This window comes from Homo sapiens, chromosome 11 (genome assembly GCF_000001405.40).
Source record: "Homo sapiens chromosome 11, GRCh38.p14 Primary Assembly".
Lineage (NCBI taxonomy): Eukaryota > Metazoa > Chordata > Mammalia > Primates > Hominidae > Homo > Homo sapiens.
The window spans coordinates 33,873,492-33,892,611 of NC_000011.10; the positions used below are offsets into that span (position 1 = coordinate 33,873,492).

The 19,120-nt window shown below is 45.0% G+C and overlaps 1 protein-coding gene across 5 annotated transcripts in view, besides 1 other annotated feature; it reads right to left on the reverse strand.

Annotated features, from left to right (window-relative positions):
- Nucleotides 1-18,585, reverse strand: part of LMO2 (LIM domain only 2) — a 33,501-nt gene extending 14,916 nt beyond the window's left edge. For 2 of the 5 annotated variants that reach the window (XM_017017733.2, NM_005574.4), the window contains exons 1-2: nucleotides 18,304-18,585; nucleotides 8,333-8,396 (exon numbers count right to left, since the gene is read on the reverse strand). The gene's annotated coding sequence lies outside the window, so the exon portion shown is untranslated. Of the gene's footprint in view, nucleotides 1-8,327; nucleotides 8,449-8,692; nucleotides 8,786-18,303 lie in introns of those variants that run through there. The other 3 variants (XM_047426944.1, XM_047426946.1, XM_047426945.1) reach the window with 3 other exon arrangements.
- Nucleotides 18,041-18,150: an enhancer, noted in NCBI's record as "active region_4586". NCBI's record gives its function as "activates an Ori minimal core promoter by ATAC-STARR-seq in GM12878 lymphoblastoid cells {active_cell/tissue: GM12878}" and the evidence as "EXISTENCE:reporter gene assay evidence [ECO:0000049][PMID:35858748]".
- Nucleotides 18,586-19,120: the final 535 nt, after the last annotated feature.

The following is a 19,120-nucleotide window of genomic DNA, read 5'->3' on the forward strand; positions in this document are numbered from 1 at the left end:
TAATTTTAAAGCAATCATGACCTTATTGTATCCTCCCTTAACAACTAGTACATGCCTTATGCAGAAGAGAGACTCAGGAACTATGAGGTGATTGGGACATGTAAAACGGTTCTTTTAAAAGTTGAGAAAATCTCTATTTGATCCCTGCCAGTGGGACTGAAATTTCATTCCTTTTCCCTTTCCCCCAATTCCTTGCAAATCTTAAATATCCTAAAATCTAGAAAATGTTCAAGTTTTCCTTCCTGAATAAGAATGCTAGAAGAAGAATGAATCAATCTACACGATGGCTCTGACCCCAGATGGATCATTTTTTTCCCCTGTGGGCATTTTCTATCCTTTTTGCTTATTACATTTACAATTGTTTTCTAAGGGAACAGCAGTTTCAAGTGACTAAGGTTACATTCCTTTGCTAAAATGGACTTCTGATAGAAATGAAAATGCAAATATAATTGAGAAGATCCCAACATTATGATAATTTACCTCTCTTTTTTTTTCAACCATTAGAAGCCAAGTTGCAACATATGCTTTGTCACTTGTGACATTCATATACAAAAATATGACATTTTGTTTCTAAATGTGGCATTCAGGAACAAAAATAAAGACCTGTCTTAATAGGGTTTCGGCTCCCATGGAGAATTTTTTTAAACTATTCGGTTGTCACAGGCATCCTGTGCTCAGACTCATTTCAGAACATTTCAGGGCCAGCTGACAGATAAGTTTTCACAGATGTAAGGCCTATTAGTAACCTTAGTGATAAACAGATTCGGTTTTCTATATAGTAAAGAGCCCAAAATACATCTTTTAAAAAATCCATTTCAACCGAGCCTTAGGATGAGCATAGAAGCTCAGCTGTTTGCTAGCTGCGTGATCTGGGGGAATTTACTTCACTTCTCTGAACCTCAGTTTCTGTACCTATCAAATGGAGGATGGAGGCAATCATAATGTCACCAGGGCCAGAACTAGGATGAGGCCACTGGGGTGCCTGCTTGCCTCACAGGAGTTTTGAGAGGAGTCAATAGGATATGTATAAAAATACTTTGCACAGTGATGCTGCACAGTAAATGGTCAGAAACGATAGCTGTTGGTATTACCCCATCTTTCAGAAGTAATCACCACTGTATCAGGAAGCAACAATCTCCCAGCCAATCAGGACATCCACCAAAGAGTGCTGAGACTGGGGTGCTGTAGAAAGAGCTGAAGTTCACCTAAGACCTCGGCAAGCCTCAGGCCAGAAATGCAGGGCTGTGCCCATTTCGGGGCCTGGGTAGGCTGCTGACAGCTTCTCTGCTTCTCTGCTACACTGCTACACTGACTGCTTCAGCCACATCCCTGATTTCATCTGATTTTCCCCTCCAACAACTTTCAAACCACCATTTATAATTTAAAAAAGAAGCCAAACAAAGCACTGAAGGAGCCGCCCCCAAATGTCACCATTCCTCAGTGAGTTCTTAGCAGTGTTAAGCTCATAGTGTGTCCTAGTGGAAGGGGCCTGAGAAGTGGGATTTTCTAGCTTGCTCCTTGGAGCAGTAGGAGTTTGAAAGCACCTCCCTAGTGGGTGTCACCCACCCCTGCTCCCACTGCAGCAGTTCTGCATTCATTGACCTTGGGCATGTTGCCCAACCTCTCTGCATTTGAGCTTCCACATCTGTAAAGCGGGAGTATTCAGAGTACCTACTCGTGGAGCTGTTCTAAGGATTCTGTGAAATGAAGCAGATCAGGTGCTTGGAGAGGAAAGTGGCACATAGTCACCTTCTATGGAAAATTTTGCTTATAAAAAGAGATTCTAACTTTAAAATGTTTGGGCGGCCGGGCGAGGTGGCTCACGCCTATAATCCTGACACTTTCGGAGGCTGAGGTGGGTGGATCACCTGATGTCAGGAGTTCGAGACCAGCCTGGCCAACGTGATGAAACCCTATCTCTACTAAAAATACAAAAACTAGCCAAGCGAGGTGGCTGACGCCTGTAATCCCAGCTACCCGGGAGGCTGAGGCAGGAGAATTGCTTGAACCTGGGAGGCAGAGGTTGCAGTGAACTGAGACCGTGCCGTTGCACTCAAGCCTGGGCGATAAGAGCAAAACTCCTTCTCAAAAAAAAAAAAAAAAAAAGTTTGAGCACCCATTGATAATTCAGACCCTTTGATGGACAAAGCAAATGAGACATACAGGGTCAACAGCTCCTTCTTCCACCTCAGGCCATTGTCAAACCTTCCCCCACCTTCTCCTTTGGGTACCAAACCCTGAGCTTTATTTGCTGCTTCAAGTTCAAGGTGGGAGTCAGAGCCAGGTGAGCTGACTCACTGAGCTGTCTTTGTGCTCTTTGTTTAGGCAGCCTGTCTCCTCTCTGTAGCTATGCAGAGGTGCCACACCTGAGTGACACACCACAGTGCCTGGGACCCCGGCACAGTATATTTGAGATCCAAATTCACTGTGGCCTGGAAGGCCCTATTATCTGGCCTCTGCTGCCCCCCTGTCCTTTTCTCCAGCATGCCCCTTCACTCTGTCTGCCTGAACCACACTGGCCTTCTTTCTGGTTCTTAAAACAAACCAAGCTGACTCCTACTGGAAGGCTTTTGCACTTGCCCTTTTCTCTGCTTGCAATGCTTTCCCCCTGGATCACCCCATGGCTCCCATGTACTTCATTCAGGTCTCTGTTCAAATATTTCATCCTCAGAGGGCTTTATAAAATCCTTCTTCTCCTCACTCTCCATCCCCGTTATCCTTCTTTGTTTTTCTTCCTAGCATCATCACTATTTTCTCTTTACTACAGATGTATGTGCAGGGTTTTGGTGTGTGTTTTGTTTTGGCCTTTCCTCCCAGCTAGAATGTAAACTCTGTGAGGGTGGAAACTCTTTCTGACCTGTTCCCAGTTGTGTCTTCAGCACCTAGAACGTGCCTAACGTGTGGCTGGCCCTCAATAAATATTCATTAAAAGAATGACTGTACAAATGGCAGCACCATTCCCCTTGGCCAAAGCATGCCTGCATGATGCCCTCTGGGTGAAAGTGTAGAAGGAACTTCAAGGTCCTTTGTTTTTCTTGAGCATCATTACTGGGAGAAGAATAATGGTCCAGATACCATTTATATTTGGAACCAAGAGTTTGGTTTGGGAAAGAGATCAGGCTCTTGGCTCCCAGGAACAGAGAAACAGGTGGTGTCTGGAATTAACAAGGCCACTCTTTGAAGCCTGACTCTCCACTGCAGAACCTCTACCCTCTACAAGGACTAAAGTGTAGAATGCAGTCAATCATATGAGTAAAAGCAAAGGCTTTGGAGAGAGAAAGGCTTGTGTTTGAGTCTTGGCTCCTTTAAGTACATGGTTTTAGGCAAATTATTTAACAGCCCTGAACCTCAGTTTCATCATGTGCAAAACAGGGATAACAATATCTTCATTATGGGGTTGTAGGAATAAAATGAAATCATGCATGCCAAATGCTGAGCCCAGTGATCAACATAGAATAAGTGCTCAATGGATGGCAGCTATTATTAGAATTAACTAAGCAAAGAGAACCTCAGAGGACAATAGTCAACCAGGGCAGGGCTTTCTTTGCTGGACATAGATGGATAAGTGGAGTTCTGCCCTACAAGGGCTTAGTTCAAGTAAGGTGGGGTCAACATTCTTGCCTGGGGAACGGAGTGTCTTGTCTTACCTCTCCTGGTATGGTGGCCTCCATGGGACAGGTGAGTTAGGTTCACAGAGGCCTGGCCCAGGCTCACATTCAGGAAGGCAACATAAAGAAGGTGCCAGAAGCCATTCCTGGCCATTGGCTCTTCAGAGTCACGTGTCTCTGATCTAAGCCATTGCACCCTAGACAGGCTTTCTATTGGAGGAAGTGGGGAGGATGAGGACAGGTCGCTGCTGGGGCAGCTGTGTTTTCTGGCATCTGGGCCATCAAAGGGCACTGAGCCTGGCAGGGGAAGGTGATTCTGACCTTTCTGATAGCACTTGCCCCTACAAGCTGTCTCCAGATTCTTTTTTTTTTTTTTTTTTTTTGAGACAGTGTCTCACTCTGTTACCCAGGCTGGAGTGCGGTGGCGTGATCTCAGCTCACTGCAACCTCTGCCTCCCGGTTTCAAGTGATTCTCCTGTCTCAGCCTCCTGAGTAGCTGGGACTATAGGTGCACACTACCACGCCTGGCTAATTTTTGTATTTGTAGTAGAGTCAGGGTTTCACCATATTGGTCAGGCTGGTGTTGAACTCCTGACCTCAGGTGATCTACACGCCTTGGCCTCCCAAAGTGCTAGGATTACAGGTGTAAGCCACTGCACCCTACCTGTCTCCAGATTCTTAAGCGACAAACCTCAGCAGGAAGGAGTAGAGCTGGAATCTTGTTAATGATGCTCCCTAGGAATGCCCATTGTTGAGGGAGGTATCCTTTGGCAAAAAAAAACAGAGAAAGAGCTGCTTGTTTTTTCTGCCAGTTTTTGCTGCTTCCCTTCAGTCACCCCTCATGTGTTTTACTGCCACACTAACTGATCTGGAATACTGTTTTCTTCCCTGTCAACACCATGCTCAAGAATTTGCAATAGTTCCCTATCGTCCATGACCATCCACAAGTTGCTTAACCTCTTGAGACCTCAATTTTCTCATTTTATAGAGAAAAGAGGCAGACTGGAAGGTTAGAGCTGAAATTCTATGTGTGATTCTGTCATTCTAGCAGGTCGAGACCAAATTTCCCATTAAAGGCACCCTGTAATCCTGCTCACTCCATTGATCCAACTTTACATCCCACAGTCCTGGACCCTGAACCTTCCCATCCAGCCTGTTCTCCTCTCTGATCTTAAATATCCTGCTTGTGCCATTTCTGTGCACTGTGTTACTCTTTTCTCTCTATCGGGGATGTCTGCTTTCTCCCTGTTCTAAAGCTTTGGTACTAGAATAGTAGAGTGATTAAGAGTAGAGGCTTTGAGATAAATAAACCTGGCTTCAAGTCTCTGCTTTACAACTTACTATCTGGGTCATCTTAGGAAAATCTCTGAGCTTCAGTGCTTTGAATGATAAAATACAGACAATGATAAATGTAGGGTTAGGAGTAGTCATTGAGATAATGTATGCAGTGGGCAGAGCACAGTGCTTGGAACATAGTAGGTGCTCAGTAAATGGCAATGATTATTGCAGTTAGTACAAATTCCTCTCCAGTCTTCTCTGCTTCTCCAAATCTTGTCCAATGTGGACCCAGATCAAGCTACATCTTTACCCTGAAGGTTTCTCTGTCCCCTGAAGCTCATGGTGGTGATCCCTTTCTGAGTTCTTATAGCCCTTGGTCCTAGTGCCTAGCTAGGTGCCTCATTAGATTCTGCCTTGCAATGCAATAATTTCACGTGTGTGCCTGCAACATCTTGCCTTAAGTCCTTGGAGAAGAGAGACCATGGTTTTCATCTTCACTAGCTCCCAGGGTACTGATATAGATATGGAGATACTTAATCATTCCTTTTGAATTGAAGCCTTCAAATATCACATCCATGTTATCAATTGCCCAGTTCCTAGATTCACACTGATATTTACAAAGCCCTGAGTGTCTTTGCTTTGGTGAGGAAGGCCACTCCAGAATCATTATTGAAGATAGCCCATGCATTGTCACAAACCTTTTAAAAACCTGGTAACTATAACATTCTTAAAGAAAACACAGGGGAACAGCTTCATGACATTGGATTTAGCAAGATTTCTTGGATATGACTCTAAAGGCACAGGCAACAAAATTAGAAATAGATAAATTGGACTACATCAAAATTTAAAACTTTGGTGCATCAAAAGACACCATCAACAGAGTGAAAGGGCAACCCACAGAATGGAATAATATATTTACAAATCATATATCTGATAAGAGATTAAGATCTAGAACATATAGGCCGGGCACTGTGGCTCACACCTGTAATCCCAGCACTTTGGGAGGCTGAGGTGGGTGGATCACCTGCGGTCAGGAGTTCGAGACCAGCCTGGCCAACATAGTGAAACTCCTGTCTCTACTTAAAAAAAAAAAAAAAAAAAATAGCCGGGCGTGATGGTGTGTGCCTGTAATCGCAGTTACTCAGGAGCCTGAGGCAGGAGAATCACTTGAGCCCAGGAAGGGAGACAGAGGTTGCAGTGAGCTGAGATCGTGCCACTGCCTGGGCGACAGAGCCAAGATCACGCTTCCAACCTGGGCGACAGAGCAAGACAAGCTCTGTCTGGATTTAAACAATCCAGTTTCAAAATGGGCAAAGAACTTGAATCTCCATTTCTCCAAAAAAGACATACAAATGGCCAATAAGCACATGAAAAGATGTTCTACATCACTAATTATTAGAGATGCAAATCAAAACTACAATGAGATACTACTGCATACCCATTAGGATGGCTAATGCACAAGTGTTAACAAGTACTGGTGAGGATCTGGAGGGTTTGGAGTACTTGTGTATTGCTGGTGGGAATGTAAAATGGTGCAGGCATTATTGAAAACGGTATGCCGGTTCCTCAAAAAATTAAAAACAGAATTACCATATGATCTAGCAATTCCATTCTGGACATAAACCCAAAAGAATTGAAAACAGCAACTCAAACAAATATTTGTACACCCATGTTCACAGCAGTACTATTCACAATAGCCAGAAAGTGGAAGCAACCAAGTGTCTATCAACAGATGGATTTTTTAAAGTGATATACGCATACTATTTTATGTGTACATATATATACATATGATATATACACATGATATATATATCATATATACACATGATATATATATCATATATACACATGATATATATATCATATATACACATGATATATATATCATACATACACATGATATATATCATATATATCATATATATACATATCATATATATACATGCAAACACATATGATTCCACCTTAAAGAGAAAGGAAATTCTGACATAAGCTACAACATGAAAGAAATTTGAAGACATTGAGTGATATAAGCCAGTCCTGAGAGGACAAAGACTATATATGATTCTACTTTTGTGAAGTACTTAAACAAATACATAGAGACAGAAAGTCGAATGGTGGTTGCCAGGAGCTAGGGGGAGGGGATAGTTATTGTTTAATGGACAAAACATTTCAGTTGGAAAACATTAAAAAGTTCTAGAGCTATATAGTGGTGATGGTCACCCAACAATATTTATGTGCTTAATGCCACTGAACTGTACCCTTGGGAGTGGTTAAATGTTAAATTTTACGATGTACGTATTTAACCCCCACACGCCCCAAACAAATCTGACAAAAGTTAAAGACCATTCCCTAGGTGTAGCTCTGTTCCTACATGCAAAATTTTACATATTGTTCCAGGGAGCTCACGGTCTTCTCAGGTTCATCTGTGGAACCATTCGACAACCAAATGTTATGGGGAAGCCAGTCTCATGAGCTCCAACACATTCTTCAGTGCAATCAGTGGCAATCCCTGCCCACTTAGGACTTTTCGAATAGTGCTCATCCCTGACTTCTGGATAAACTTCTTTGCAGAAGCCCATTTGACTCCAAGGACAGAAAAAAAGAGTGCAGGTTGTTATTATGCAAAGCCACAGCATTAAGGAGCTCAATATTCTTCTAGATATCTGCCCTCCTGTCTGAGAATCCCATACTTAGAGTATAGCAGGTCCCATCTCCATTTGGGATGGTGGTGGTGGAAAAGGGGGCGTCTCTGATGAGCAGAGCATCTTTAATGCCTGCTCAGGCCAGAGCCCCTTTCCAAAGACTTCGAGACTGCCGTGGGCCTGCTGACTCCTCTCACGCTTTCAAGCTACAGTGCTTCCCATCACATTGCAGAAGGCCGCCTTGGGTCATATCTCGCAAAGGAAGAGCTATTAACAAATATTCCATTTGTATTTCCTGCGTGGCCCTCCATCTGGAAATATCTTTTATCTGGCAACTTTTGCAAAATGAACCAAATCTTGAAGGAGGTCTTGGCAGGTTTATGCTAGCCTCTCTATCACTCCAACAAGTCATTTCCATCCTCGCCTTCACAAGGGTCAAGCAATTGTGACTTGGGTTGGGAGACGGGGCTGGCACGGAATGGTAGCAAGTCATCTAGGCTCTGAGGCATCTTTTTAACCCTGAAAACGTCCACTTGGAGGGCAAGAGCCAAATCTAAAAAATTATTATACACACTGTCTCTCAGCTCAAATATGTATGCTCTCACTCCAAGTTCAGATCACAATTTACAATTCCGCATTTTGTAATTGTTAAGTGCAGTCTGGCTTCCCCAAAGACCTCAAGCTCATTCTGCCCAGGATTAAATCCAAGAGCCTTCTTAGCCCAGTTTCTGGCATGCAGGAAGCATACAATAATGGAAGAAATGAATGAATGAACAAATGAATTAATGAAACCCACCTTACCTGCCTCTCCACTAGCTACTGCAAGTTCAGGTTGAAAAATATCTTCTTTTCAGAGCAGTTGTTACTGAAAGAAAATGAGAGGAACCCTCTGGTTTAGACAGCTAGAAGTAGAAAGGAGAAAGAGAGAGAAAAAAAATTCTTATCTTCAGTTAGAGAAATGTTTCCACAGGTCCTTGATAAACTAGGGAAAAAGACCCCCAGGGCTTTCTGATAGCAGGCGGGTGTCCTTGATAGCGTGACGGGTGGGGCAGGCGGAACTTTGGCATCAGGGCGCAGGGATGGATTCTAACGGTTTCTTTGCTGGTTGAAGAGGCTGCTTCCTGCCGACTTCTTTTTTTTTTCTTCTTATTCTTCACTTACCAGCCCAGCTTGTGAATGTGAAGGAGTTGTCCCTTTTCCAAATGAACAGGACTGGTGTATCAGGTGGCCTTGCCATTGTATGCACCTGCCGGTCTGAGAAAGCAAGTGTTCTGTCTGTATCTGCAACTGTTTGTGTCTCACGCTTTGCAAATCTCTTATCCCTCTGAGTCTCAGAAATCCCCCATGAGTGAAAAAGGGCAGGTAGCCTGGTGCCCATTTGATAGGAGAGGAAATTAGGCCAAAGCCCTTTCAAATCTCAAACATGCCTAAACTAGAGAACTGGATGACCCTTGTTCCTTAGACTCGGGCATTCTTGCTCACAGGAATGTCTTTTGAAAATTTATTTTTCAAGAGGAAGAGCTTCATGAGGCAAAAGCCAACACGCAGACACCGTATTACCTAGCGGCATTTATTGGATTTGTCTCTTGAGTGATTCAAACAAAAGATTACGGTTATAAATAGATAGACCTAATTGTGGCAAACAATGCCTACCTTTTATTGAGCACTTATTATGTGCCAGGCATTTTAAATACTTGATCTTATTCAATCCTGATAAGAAACCTCCTGAGATCAGTAATATTATTCCAATTTTACAGAGGAGGAAAGTGAGAGAGAAATTTCAATAACTTTCCCAGGGTCATACAGCTGCATAAATGTAGGAGACGGAATTTAGACCTAGGTCTTCTGACTATGCCCTCACCTCATTCACTATGCCAGTGTTTCCCAAATTTCCTACGTTTGCATGTTAGGAATACATATTCTTAGGCCCACACCCAATCTCCCAGATCAAGGGAGAAACCTCAGAAGGCCTTTCCCTGGATACCTGATCTAAAAAATAGCCTCCTCCCCAGGCACTAACACACCGTTATTTAATTTTCATCATTATATTTGTCACTACTTGATATTTTCTTATTTGTGTATTTGCATATTGTCTTTCTTCTCCACTAAGGGATGAGTTCCATAAGTGCAGATACAAGATGTCCAACGTTTTAACTTCTAGAAACTGACCAAGGGGGATGGTACCTACGAAGTACTCAAAACATATTTATTAGATAAGTTAGTAGACACTGTCCAAAGTATTGTGTTAAGAAGAATTGTGAGTCTGGACCCAGGTTCTGGAGAGAAGATGAGAACACTGGTGTGTGTCCTGAGGTTTCAGGATGGGAAAGTGTTGGCACATAGGCCATGTATTTGCCATCCCAGAGAAAGAAACTCAGTCTCCCCAAAATTAAGAGGAAGATGACACAGAAAGTCAGTAGGAGAGCCAGGTAAAATGCAATCACTTCTTTCCAAGACCTTTATCTCTTACTTGGAAGTCAAAATGAACACATTTGTAATGGAGAAGAAATCCATGGTCAACAGTGAGGTGCTGATCAAAACTGCAATCAGATTGGATTAGGGAGAGATCAGAGTGGATGGACATCAGCATGGAAGGCTTTCTGGAGGAAGCAGAAAATCGAGTTGCCCCTTGATGAGCGATTATCTGGAAACTTCCTTTGTTGTCAGGCTTGTACTTTGAGCTATACATAGAGTGTTTTTTAGGCCCTTGCAACACCCTAATGAAGTAAGTATTGTAATCATAATTTTATGGGTGATGAAACTGAGTCACAGAAAGCCTACAGAACTTGCTCCAGCTCACAGGGCTACTAAGGACTGAGTAGGAATTAACAGCCGGTGATTTCAATAATGGTTTTCTTAACAGAGCAGGTGTGTCTGGTAGGAAACAGCCCAAGTAAGGGTCTGGGTATGGGGTCAGTTGGAGGAGCTGGAGGTGCAGTTCACAGGTAGTAATGAAGTCAGCTGGTTGCAGAATTGGACCATAACAATATTCCAGTGAAAGGAACCAGATCTGCTGTTCTCTCCCATTTAAAAGCCTTGGATGCCAAAACGCACCACACCTGACCCGGTGATCACAGGCAATTCAAAGGTGTATTACTTATGCAGGCATAGGCAGCGAGGGAAGCCACTGGTTGAGGGCCCCACTGAGAAGAGGACTCCCTGACTTCTGGGGAGGAGAAAGAGCCTGGTGCTGGGGACCTACGTAGATATAGGACAGGGGCCCACCTGTTGAATAATGCCGAGAGGAGGTAGTGGGGGAAGATTAATTTTGAGTGATCTGCTCCATTGGGGGTCAGGCTGGGGGTGGTCAATCAAAAAGAGTAAGGGTGAGTTTTCTTGCATATGATTACTAGGTGCTGCAGAGGTGAGTGGGGCTGAGTGGGTGGTGAGGGGTGGGGTGCCCTGATGGTTTCTGCCCCAGTGGGTGTTAACTATTTGGACAAATGACATTTTGCTGGGAGCAACTTTTTGCACTCAACTCAATTTCTTCAAAATTCACTCCCTAACATTTGGTTCACCATCCAAAGAGCTAATATACTTGTATATAGGCTGTACCAATTTTACATAGCCAGTGCAGTATGTAAGTCTACTTGTGGGCAGGAGGGCTCCTAAAACAAGGTCACCCCAGGCTACAGGGGACATCCAAGTCCTAGGGAGTTCAGAGTACCACATGTAGAATTTGGTTTCTGTTTGGTGGTACATCCATTGGGCTATTTGGATTACTTTGCCTTGCAATATTTATCCACGTCCAGCAGGATACACTATGCCCTCTGAGAGCATATACTCCTTCTGGGAAGCTGGCATATCATCTGGAGCTAGTCTCTTATCTGCCACCCTGGCAGTTAGGGGTTTTTGCCCTTCAGTGAAAGCTTCCAGTGCTGCTGTTTTTTGTGTTACGTGGGCTGATAGGACCTCGGATCTTTCTCTGAAGTATCTGCTAGTTTTCCTGGTGTGATCATATTGTAAGACCTTAGTCCCACTCTTCTGGCCCCAAGTCATGCTTATACCCAGGACAATGGGTAGGAAGACTGCCCATCACCTCTGACTGGGGACTGTGACCAGCAGGGTTAAATTGCAGAACAGTCAGAAAAATGTGAAGGGGGTTGTCAGACTTAGCAGTGTGCAGGTGAGTTTAGGTATTTGGGACGTCAGGAAGAAGTTATCTAGGAGTGGAACAGGTGAAGCAGGTTCCCTCTGGGGCTTCCAATCTCTTGTGTTCCTTTAATATCTGGGGTGGGCCATGACACTAGTTGTGCTGTGTGGGCCTAGGAAGATACAAGCATAGGCATGTATTTATACATTTGGATAGATGTATGATCTGGACTCATGAGCCGGGGACCAGACTGGATAACATCTGAGCCAACATAGGACAGGGCAAGACCTAGGAGCCTAGACCAGAAGTGTTTGGTGTTGGTGGTTTTGTGGTGCAAATAAGGGAGTGGCCTGCTCATGGGGGCAGATAGGAGGCCCAACATTGCATGAGGTCCAGCCACTGGGATGTGGCTTTATCTCTGTGTACATACAAGTTAGCCCGGAGATAGCCTTAGGCAGTAGAATTGCTTTGGGAGGCCCAGGAAGGGAAGTTCCAGCCACAATGGCAATGAGGTTTATTGTGCCCAATGGGGAGGAAGTGAGAGGAGAGAGTTATAACTTTGGTGGCCTGTGTGGTGGCCACCCTTTTCAGGTATGTGACAAATGCTGATTGAGGGATCCCCCAAGGGAAGCTGTTTGTGCTCCAGCAAGGGGGTCCCTTGGTAGATGATGTGGGTAACTGGTGGGCAGCCTCCAGGATGCAGTGGTTGGCTGGGCTGTGGTCATCACCTGCAATGTGGCCATTGTCTCCCTGGGCTGGTACACCTTTTTTTTTTTTGAGCCAGAGTTTCGCTCTTGTCACCTAGGCTGGAGTGCAATGGCACAATCTTGGCTCATTGCAGCCTCTGCCTCCCAGGTTCAAGCAATTCTCCTGCCTCAGCCTCCCAAGTAGCTGGGATTGCAGGTGCCCACCACCAAGCTTGGCTAATTTTTTTGTATTTTTAGTAGAGACGGGGTTTCACCATGTTGGCCAGGCTCGTCTCAAACTCCTGACTTCAGGTGATCCACCTGCCTTGGCCTCCCAAAGTGCTGGGATTACAGGCATGAGCCACCATGCCCGGCCACAACTCTTAAGTCAGATTTGGGTCATGGAGATATAGGCTGACATCTGGAAGGGTGTCACAAAGATGCACAAAGCAGAAGGGGTGCTTGAGGGCACATTTAGAAGGGGTGCTGGAGGACACCACATGCGCTGGGCTGACAATTGGGCATCATTTCTATGATAAAAGTAGTTTGTAGGGGAGGTGGGACTAAACATACAGGACCACATTCCTTTTTGTTTGTCCTGATGGCTTCTCAGGATGATGTGATATTCCTGGCCCATGGTGTTGTAGAAGAATTGTACATTCCAAACAGATAGGGATGACACTGTGGGTGCAGTATTGCCGAGGTGTCCCAGCGCTGAGTAGGGAAACTGTGTCCCAGGCCACCAGCTATATCAGGCATAGCCAGCTATAAAAAACCTAAAGGTTTCACAATAACATTTTCAGTTTTTAGACTCTGTAATAGCATTTAGGGCTGGCCTTTTATAATGACAGGGGCATCTGTATCCCACAGCTGTGAGTGGCTGTCTGTGCTTTGGCATCCGTGGTGGGGAATAGACAGCCTCAGGCATTGTTATTTCAGAACACGAATGTTGGGGGGCTCCTTTGTCTTGCTCCAAGATCCACATGGTGGTAGGTGTCAGTCCAGGGGCCAATATTCTATCCCCTGTGGAACAAGCTTAACATTAGCCAGCCTTTAAATCCATCACAACTGGTAGATGTGTTAGGGGATGGGAGAGCCTCATTTCCAGGCTGGTAGAAACATGTTGTCAGGGACTTCGCTCTTCCATCCATAGCCAGCAGGTCCCACTTATTATTTGCCATTGGTCTGACACCGATGCCTTGTGAATTGTGGATAGATTGAAAAAAGATATAGGAATGAAGGATCAGAGGAGCAATCCCACATGGGAATCCATGACTTGGAACCTGGGACTCTTGTCAGAACTAGTAAGTGTAAAATGAGGGCATTTTATTATGGATGAGGGGCCCATAGGGGCAAGTATCAAGGGAGATAAGAGCAGTAAGGAAAACTGATTTGGAAACCACAAGCCATTTTGTAGCTTTAAGAGAATATACATCATTGTGGAGTTTGCGGTAGCCTGGTGGGAGAAGTGAGCCAGTGACAGACAGGAATACATGTCCACCATGGTTAGGGCATATTGTGGGGTTGGGGAACCTGAGGGAAGGACTCATTACCGTCAATTTTCCATCATGAGTGTGGTCAGTTTCCTCAGTGATTCTGCTAGGAGTGACATATTGCACCCACCCATACTTCTCCACAGATATTCAATATGTTTGGGATAGCAGTTGATTATGGGTGGGAAACGTAAATGCAGCATCTTATTGTGGAAGGCCTTAGCTGCAAGTCTCCAGGAATGTGGATTTTTTTTTTTTTTTTTTTTTTGAGACAGGGTCTTGCTCTGTTGCTCAGGCTGGAGTGCAGTGGTGATACTGTGGTTCACTGCAGCCTTGACCTTCTGAGTTCAGGTGATCCTCCCACCTCAACCTCCCAAGCAGCTGTGTGTGCCACCACGCTTGGCTAATTTTTGTTTTGTTCTTTTGTTTTGTTTTTTGTTTGTTTGTTTGTTTGCTTTTTGTAGAGATGGGGTTTTGCCATGTTGCTCAGGCTGATCTCAAACTCCTGGGCTCAAGCCATCTGCCCGCCTTGGCCTCCCAAAGTGATGGGATTACAGGTGTGAGCCACTGCACCTAGCCAAGAATGTGGATTTAATGAGCCACTAGTCCATGGAAGACTCTTGAACAGGGGAAGGATGTGAGTGGAGTTGCATTTGGGTTGGGTTGGGGTGGGGAGAGGCTGGAGGTGAGGCTGCTGTGCTAGGAGCTTAACCACCAGTGAAGGGTTGAAGAAAGGAGGTGGGGGCAGGGGGAATGACTGAGTGGGCAATGACAGAGGCACTCACGTGACTGGCCAAGACTTGTCTGCAGGAGACCAGGGAGCTATAGCCAGGCAGCTGCAGGGCCATTGATAGAAGCTGCCATGGCTTGAGCACTTGCTCTATGCATACTCACGCAAGCGCATTCGTATATGATCTCGCTCATCCCTCACACTGAGGTCATTTGTGGGATGCAAATGGCCAGCCTTATGCTTCTGCCCCATCCACACAGGTCAGGGGCCATACTCTGTGCCACTGCCAGGGGGATCCTTTCATAACCTGCATCAGATCATTTCGCTCCTCTGCTTGAAGCTCTCCCAAGGTTTCCTTCTTGCCCAGAGTAAAAAGCCAAAGTCCTATAAGGCCCTGCATATCTGGCTCTAGCCATCTCTGTGTCCCCTTCTCTTACACTCCCTTCCTCCTTCCCTCCCTCTGCTTCATCCACACAGGACCCCTTGTCATTCTTCAAACTCTTGCTTTAGGGCCTTTGCTCTTCTCCTTCTTCCGGGAACATTCTTCCCCAGATGTGAGTTCTTCTTATTAGAAAGGTCTTCCTTCATCACCTGAGTAAGACACTAATAACCCGGGCCAGCGCATTCCATTTTCCCTCACTCTGTGTTATTTTTCTCCCTAGCACATATTGCCATCTGGCATACTATATGTGTACTTGCTTATTTGATTGGTGTCTGTCTCCCCCTCTCAAGTTTGTAAGCCCCTTTCAGGCAAGAGCAATGTTTGTTTTGTTGACGTCTACGTATCCGCAGTGCCTAGAACAGTTCCTGCTGTGTATGAGGCGCCCAGTAAACACTTGCTGAGTGGATGAATGAAGTGTGTATTATCATCCTGATTCAATGAAAGGGAAAACTGAGGCTCAGGAAGGGTACGCAACTTCTCCAGGCAGGACAGCTAGTAGTCGCCAAAGCCAGGGTTCAAGTCTGACTACAAAGCCTGTCCTATTTCCGTTAGGGTAGAATACCCTCGAGGAGTCTTGGATCTTTGTAACTGAGAAAATGGATCTTTAATAAACAGAAATGGGGAAATTGAACAGGTTTGGGTAATAGGGGAAAGATGACAAGGTCATTTGGAGCTCTGCTCTTCTTTGAGTGCAGTGGGACCTCAGAGGCTAGGGGTAGCCATTTGAGCATCTCCTGTGTACCAGGCACTGTACTGGGCACCAAGAATTTAAAAATAAACAAGACACCGTCCCTACCCTTGAGGAGCTCACCAACTAGGGGTGAAATGTCCAGGACACACTCTCTGAGTTCCTAGGGCTGCAGCTAACCTTAGCCAGACCAGAGCACAGATGAGCTCGCAGCCAGACTCTCCAGGCCAGATACGGGCCAGGCAGCAGCATCCGTTCAACAGAATCGCTGAGCAGTTCTGTTGTGCCAGACAAAGCAGTCACACTAGAGATACAGAAGCAGGTCAGACAAGGGTCCATTCTCAGAAGCTCACAGCAGTGAGGAGGAAGCATCCTTCACTCATTTGTTCATTCATCTGTCAGCTAGAAAACAAGTACTTGCCATGTGCCAAACACTCCTAGGCTCTTGTTATAAAACAATGAAGAAAAGAGACATGATCCCTACATTCAAGGAACTTACAACCTAGTGGCGATGTGGAGAAAAGGAAACTCTTATACGCTGTTGGTGGGAATGTAAATTAGTACAATCTCTAGGAAGAACAGTATGGAGATTTGTCAGAGAACTAAAATTAGAACTACCATTCAATCCAGCAATCCCACTACTGGGTATCCATCCAAAGGAAAAGAAATAATTAGATACCTGCACTTGTATGTTTATCGTAGCACTAGTCACAATAGCAAAGATGTGGAATCAACCTAAGTGTCCATCAATGGATGATTGGATTTAAAACTGTGGTGTATATATATGCAATGGAATATTATTCAGCCATAAAAAAGAATGAAATCATGTCTCTCGCAGCCACATGGGTAGAACTGGAAGCTGTTATCTTAAGTTAAAAAAGTCAGACACTGAAAGACAAATATCACACTGTTCACTCATAAGTGGGAGCTAAATAATGTGAACACATGGCATTAGGGTATGGAATAATATACACTGGAGACTCAGAAGGGTGGGGGGAGGATGATGAGAAATTAATTAATAGGTACAATGTGGTGATATCAATCTGGTGATAGATATCAATAGATATCAATCTGGTGATAGATACCAATAGATATCAATCTGGTGATAGATACCTTAGAAGCCCTGACTTCAAGACTATGCAATTTACGCTTGTCACAAAATTGTACTTGTTCCCCATAAATTTATGTAAGTTTTTTTGTTTTTGTTTTTGTTTTTATGAGATGGAGTTTCTCGTCACCCAGGCTGGAGTGCAATAGTGCCATCTTGGCTCACTGCAACCTCCGCCTCCCGGGTTCAAGCAATTCTCCTCTCTCAGCCTCCCGAGTAGCTGGGATTACAGGGATGAGCCACCACGCGTGGCTAATTTTCATATTTTTAGTAGAGACAGGGTTTCACCATGTTGCCCAAGCTGGTCTTGAACTGCTGACCTCAGGCGATCTGCCTGCCTTGGCCTCCCAAAGTGCTAAGATTACAGGCGTTAGCCAATGTGCCCGGCCTGTAAGTTTTTTAAAAACCTAGAGGTGAGTAATTATAATAAGTGATATTATTATTATTATTACTCTTAACAACAATGACAATGATGACTGATGAGGGCTAAGTACCAGCTACTATCCAAGCACTTCCATGATTTATTTCTATTATTTCTCACAATGACCCTATGGGTACCCCTATATTACAAATGAGAAAACTGAGGCTGCCATCTTTCTAAGGTCTAAAGTGATTTTCTGGGAGCACAAACAAGAGCTTAATTAATTTTAACAGATAAAGACAGAAAAGGCTTCACAGAAGATTCACCTTTTCAGGGCAACCTAAAGAAGTATGGGTTGGTTTTCTTTAAGCTGAAACATTACGGCAAGAACCTGGAGTAATATCTGCTTCAAAGGGGAGTTATGCAAAGTCAACAAGAGAAGACGTGTAAAACCCAAGCACAGTACCTGGCACAAAGTAGATGCTCCCAAATCTTTGTTCCCCTTCATTGATCCTCTGTGATGGAAGGAACTTGTAGCCACTTTCCTCATCCGCCTTGGTTTTTCAAAAACACCCTTTGAAGTTATAACCTCCTTGGGAGCCAAGGCTTCTCTGAAGCACCCCATTACAATCTTTGCCCTCAACTCAGAACTGGAATGTGTTTGAAAATGCTAACAAGGGCAGCAGCCCCACCTCTTCGTCATTGCCTAAGGTTGTTAGGCAAACACACACACACACACACACACACACACACACACACACACACATGCACACACACTCACACAGTTGCTGGGGAGATCATGGTAAACACAAGCCTCTCTTTTGGATCAGAATAATTGAGTGGTCTCCCTTTGTGGCCAGTGTACAGGAACAAATTAGATGGGTAAATTAGCAGTTCCCGAAGACATTAGCAACCAGCGGCTCACACAGCAAGCGCCTGACTCACCGTGGGGCCTCTCCAAGTCACAGCCTATGAATAGATGCTCTTCCTCCCTCCGAAAGAGAAGCCAGAGTGCCCGGAACACCACAGGGGAAGCTTGAAGACTTGTACCCCTTTGGAGTCTTTTTATTTTAAAAGACCAATTTAATCACCACTTCTTCTGGCTCCTTGAAGATGAAAAAAGTTCCCTTGCAATCGTCCATTCATCAGAGAATTAATGAAGCCTACTCACCAGCAGATGATGTAATCCTGGTGGCTTCCCCCATCAGATCTAGGCTGCCTGCCCCACGGATACCTTCTGGGCTAATTGCCTGCTTTGCACCTGTTCCTTCTCGGGAGGCCCTGGCACCCTAGCACCTGGTGCCTGTGCCATCTCCCCTCTCTGCCAGGACACCCAGAGGCCCTTGTGAATAGCAAAGCCCACTTAACGGCTGAGGGCAGGTGGGGGTATTTCCTTCTCAATTCTGCTCAAGGCCCGTTGCTGTTCTTTGAGGATGTTGCAAATCCAGGGTTTGGAGGGCTGGGCCTCTTGGTGGCCTGGTTGTCTATCTGATAGGGCGGAGCCTTCACCCTTGCAGCGAGCTCTCTCACACCAGATGTGCTCTGCGTGGAATCCTAGGCCATCAGGGGATTCCTTAGCAAGCCCTGCAGGACCCAAATCCTAACTCAGACCCTCATCCTCCTACTCAGAATGTGGAGACTTGTGATCCTCAGTTTGGACGAATTCCAAGAGACCTTCCAATTCCCAGAGGCCATCTTTGGTTCTGTTCACACATAGCTCCCTCTCCCTCCTAGGCCTTCTCCCTTTGAATTTCTCCCCTACACCATCAGCCTGTATTTACTTCTCCTTCTTGCTTAATGCATGACTATATTATCCCAGTTAAGGGGGTCTGCAGGTTTTATCAGAAAGTTCAGAGGCTCACATGACCTGGATTGGAACTTGGCTCAGCCACTGACTAGCCAGACAAACTCAAATAACGTACACAGCTTCTCAGCACCTCACCCCCTCATTCATAAAAAACAGGGACAATGGTACCCACTTTGCAGGG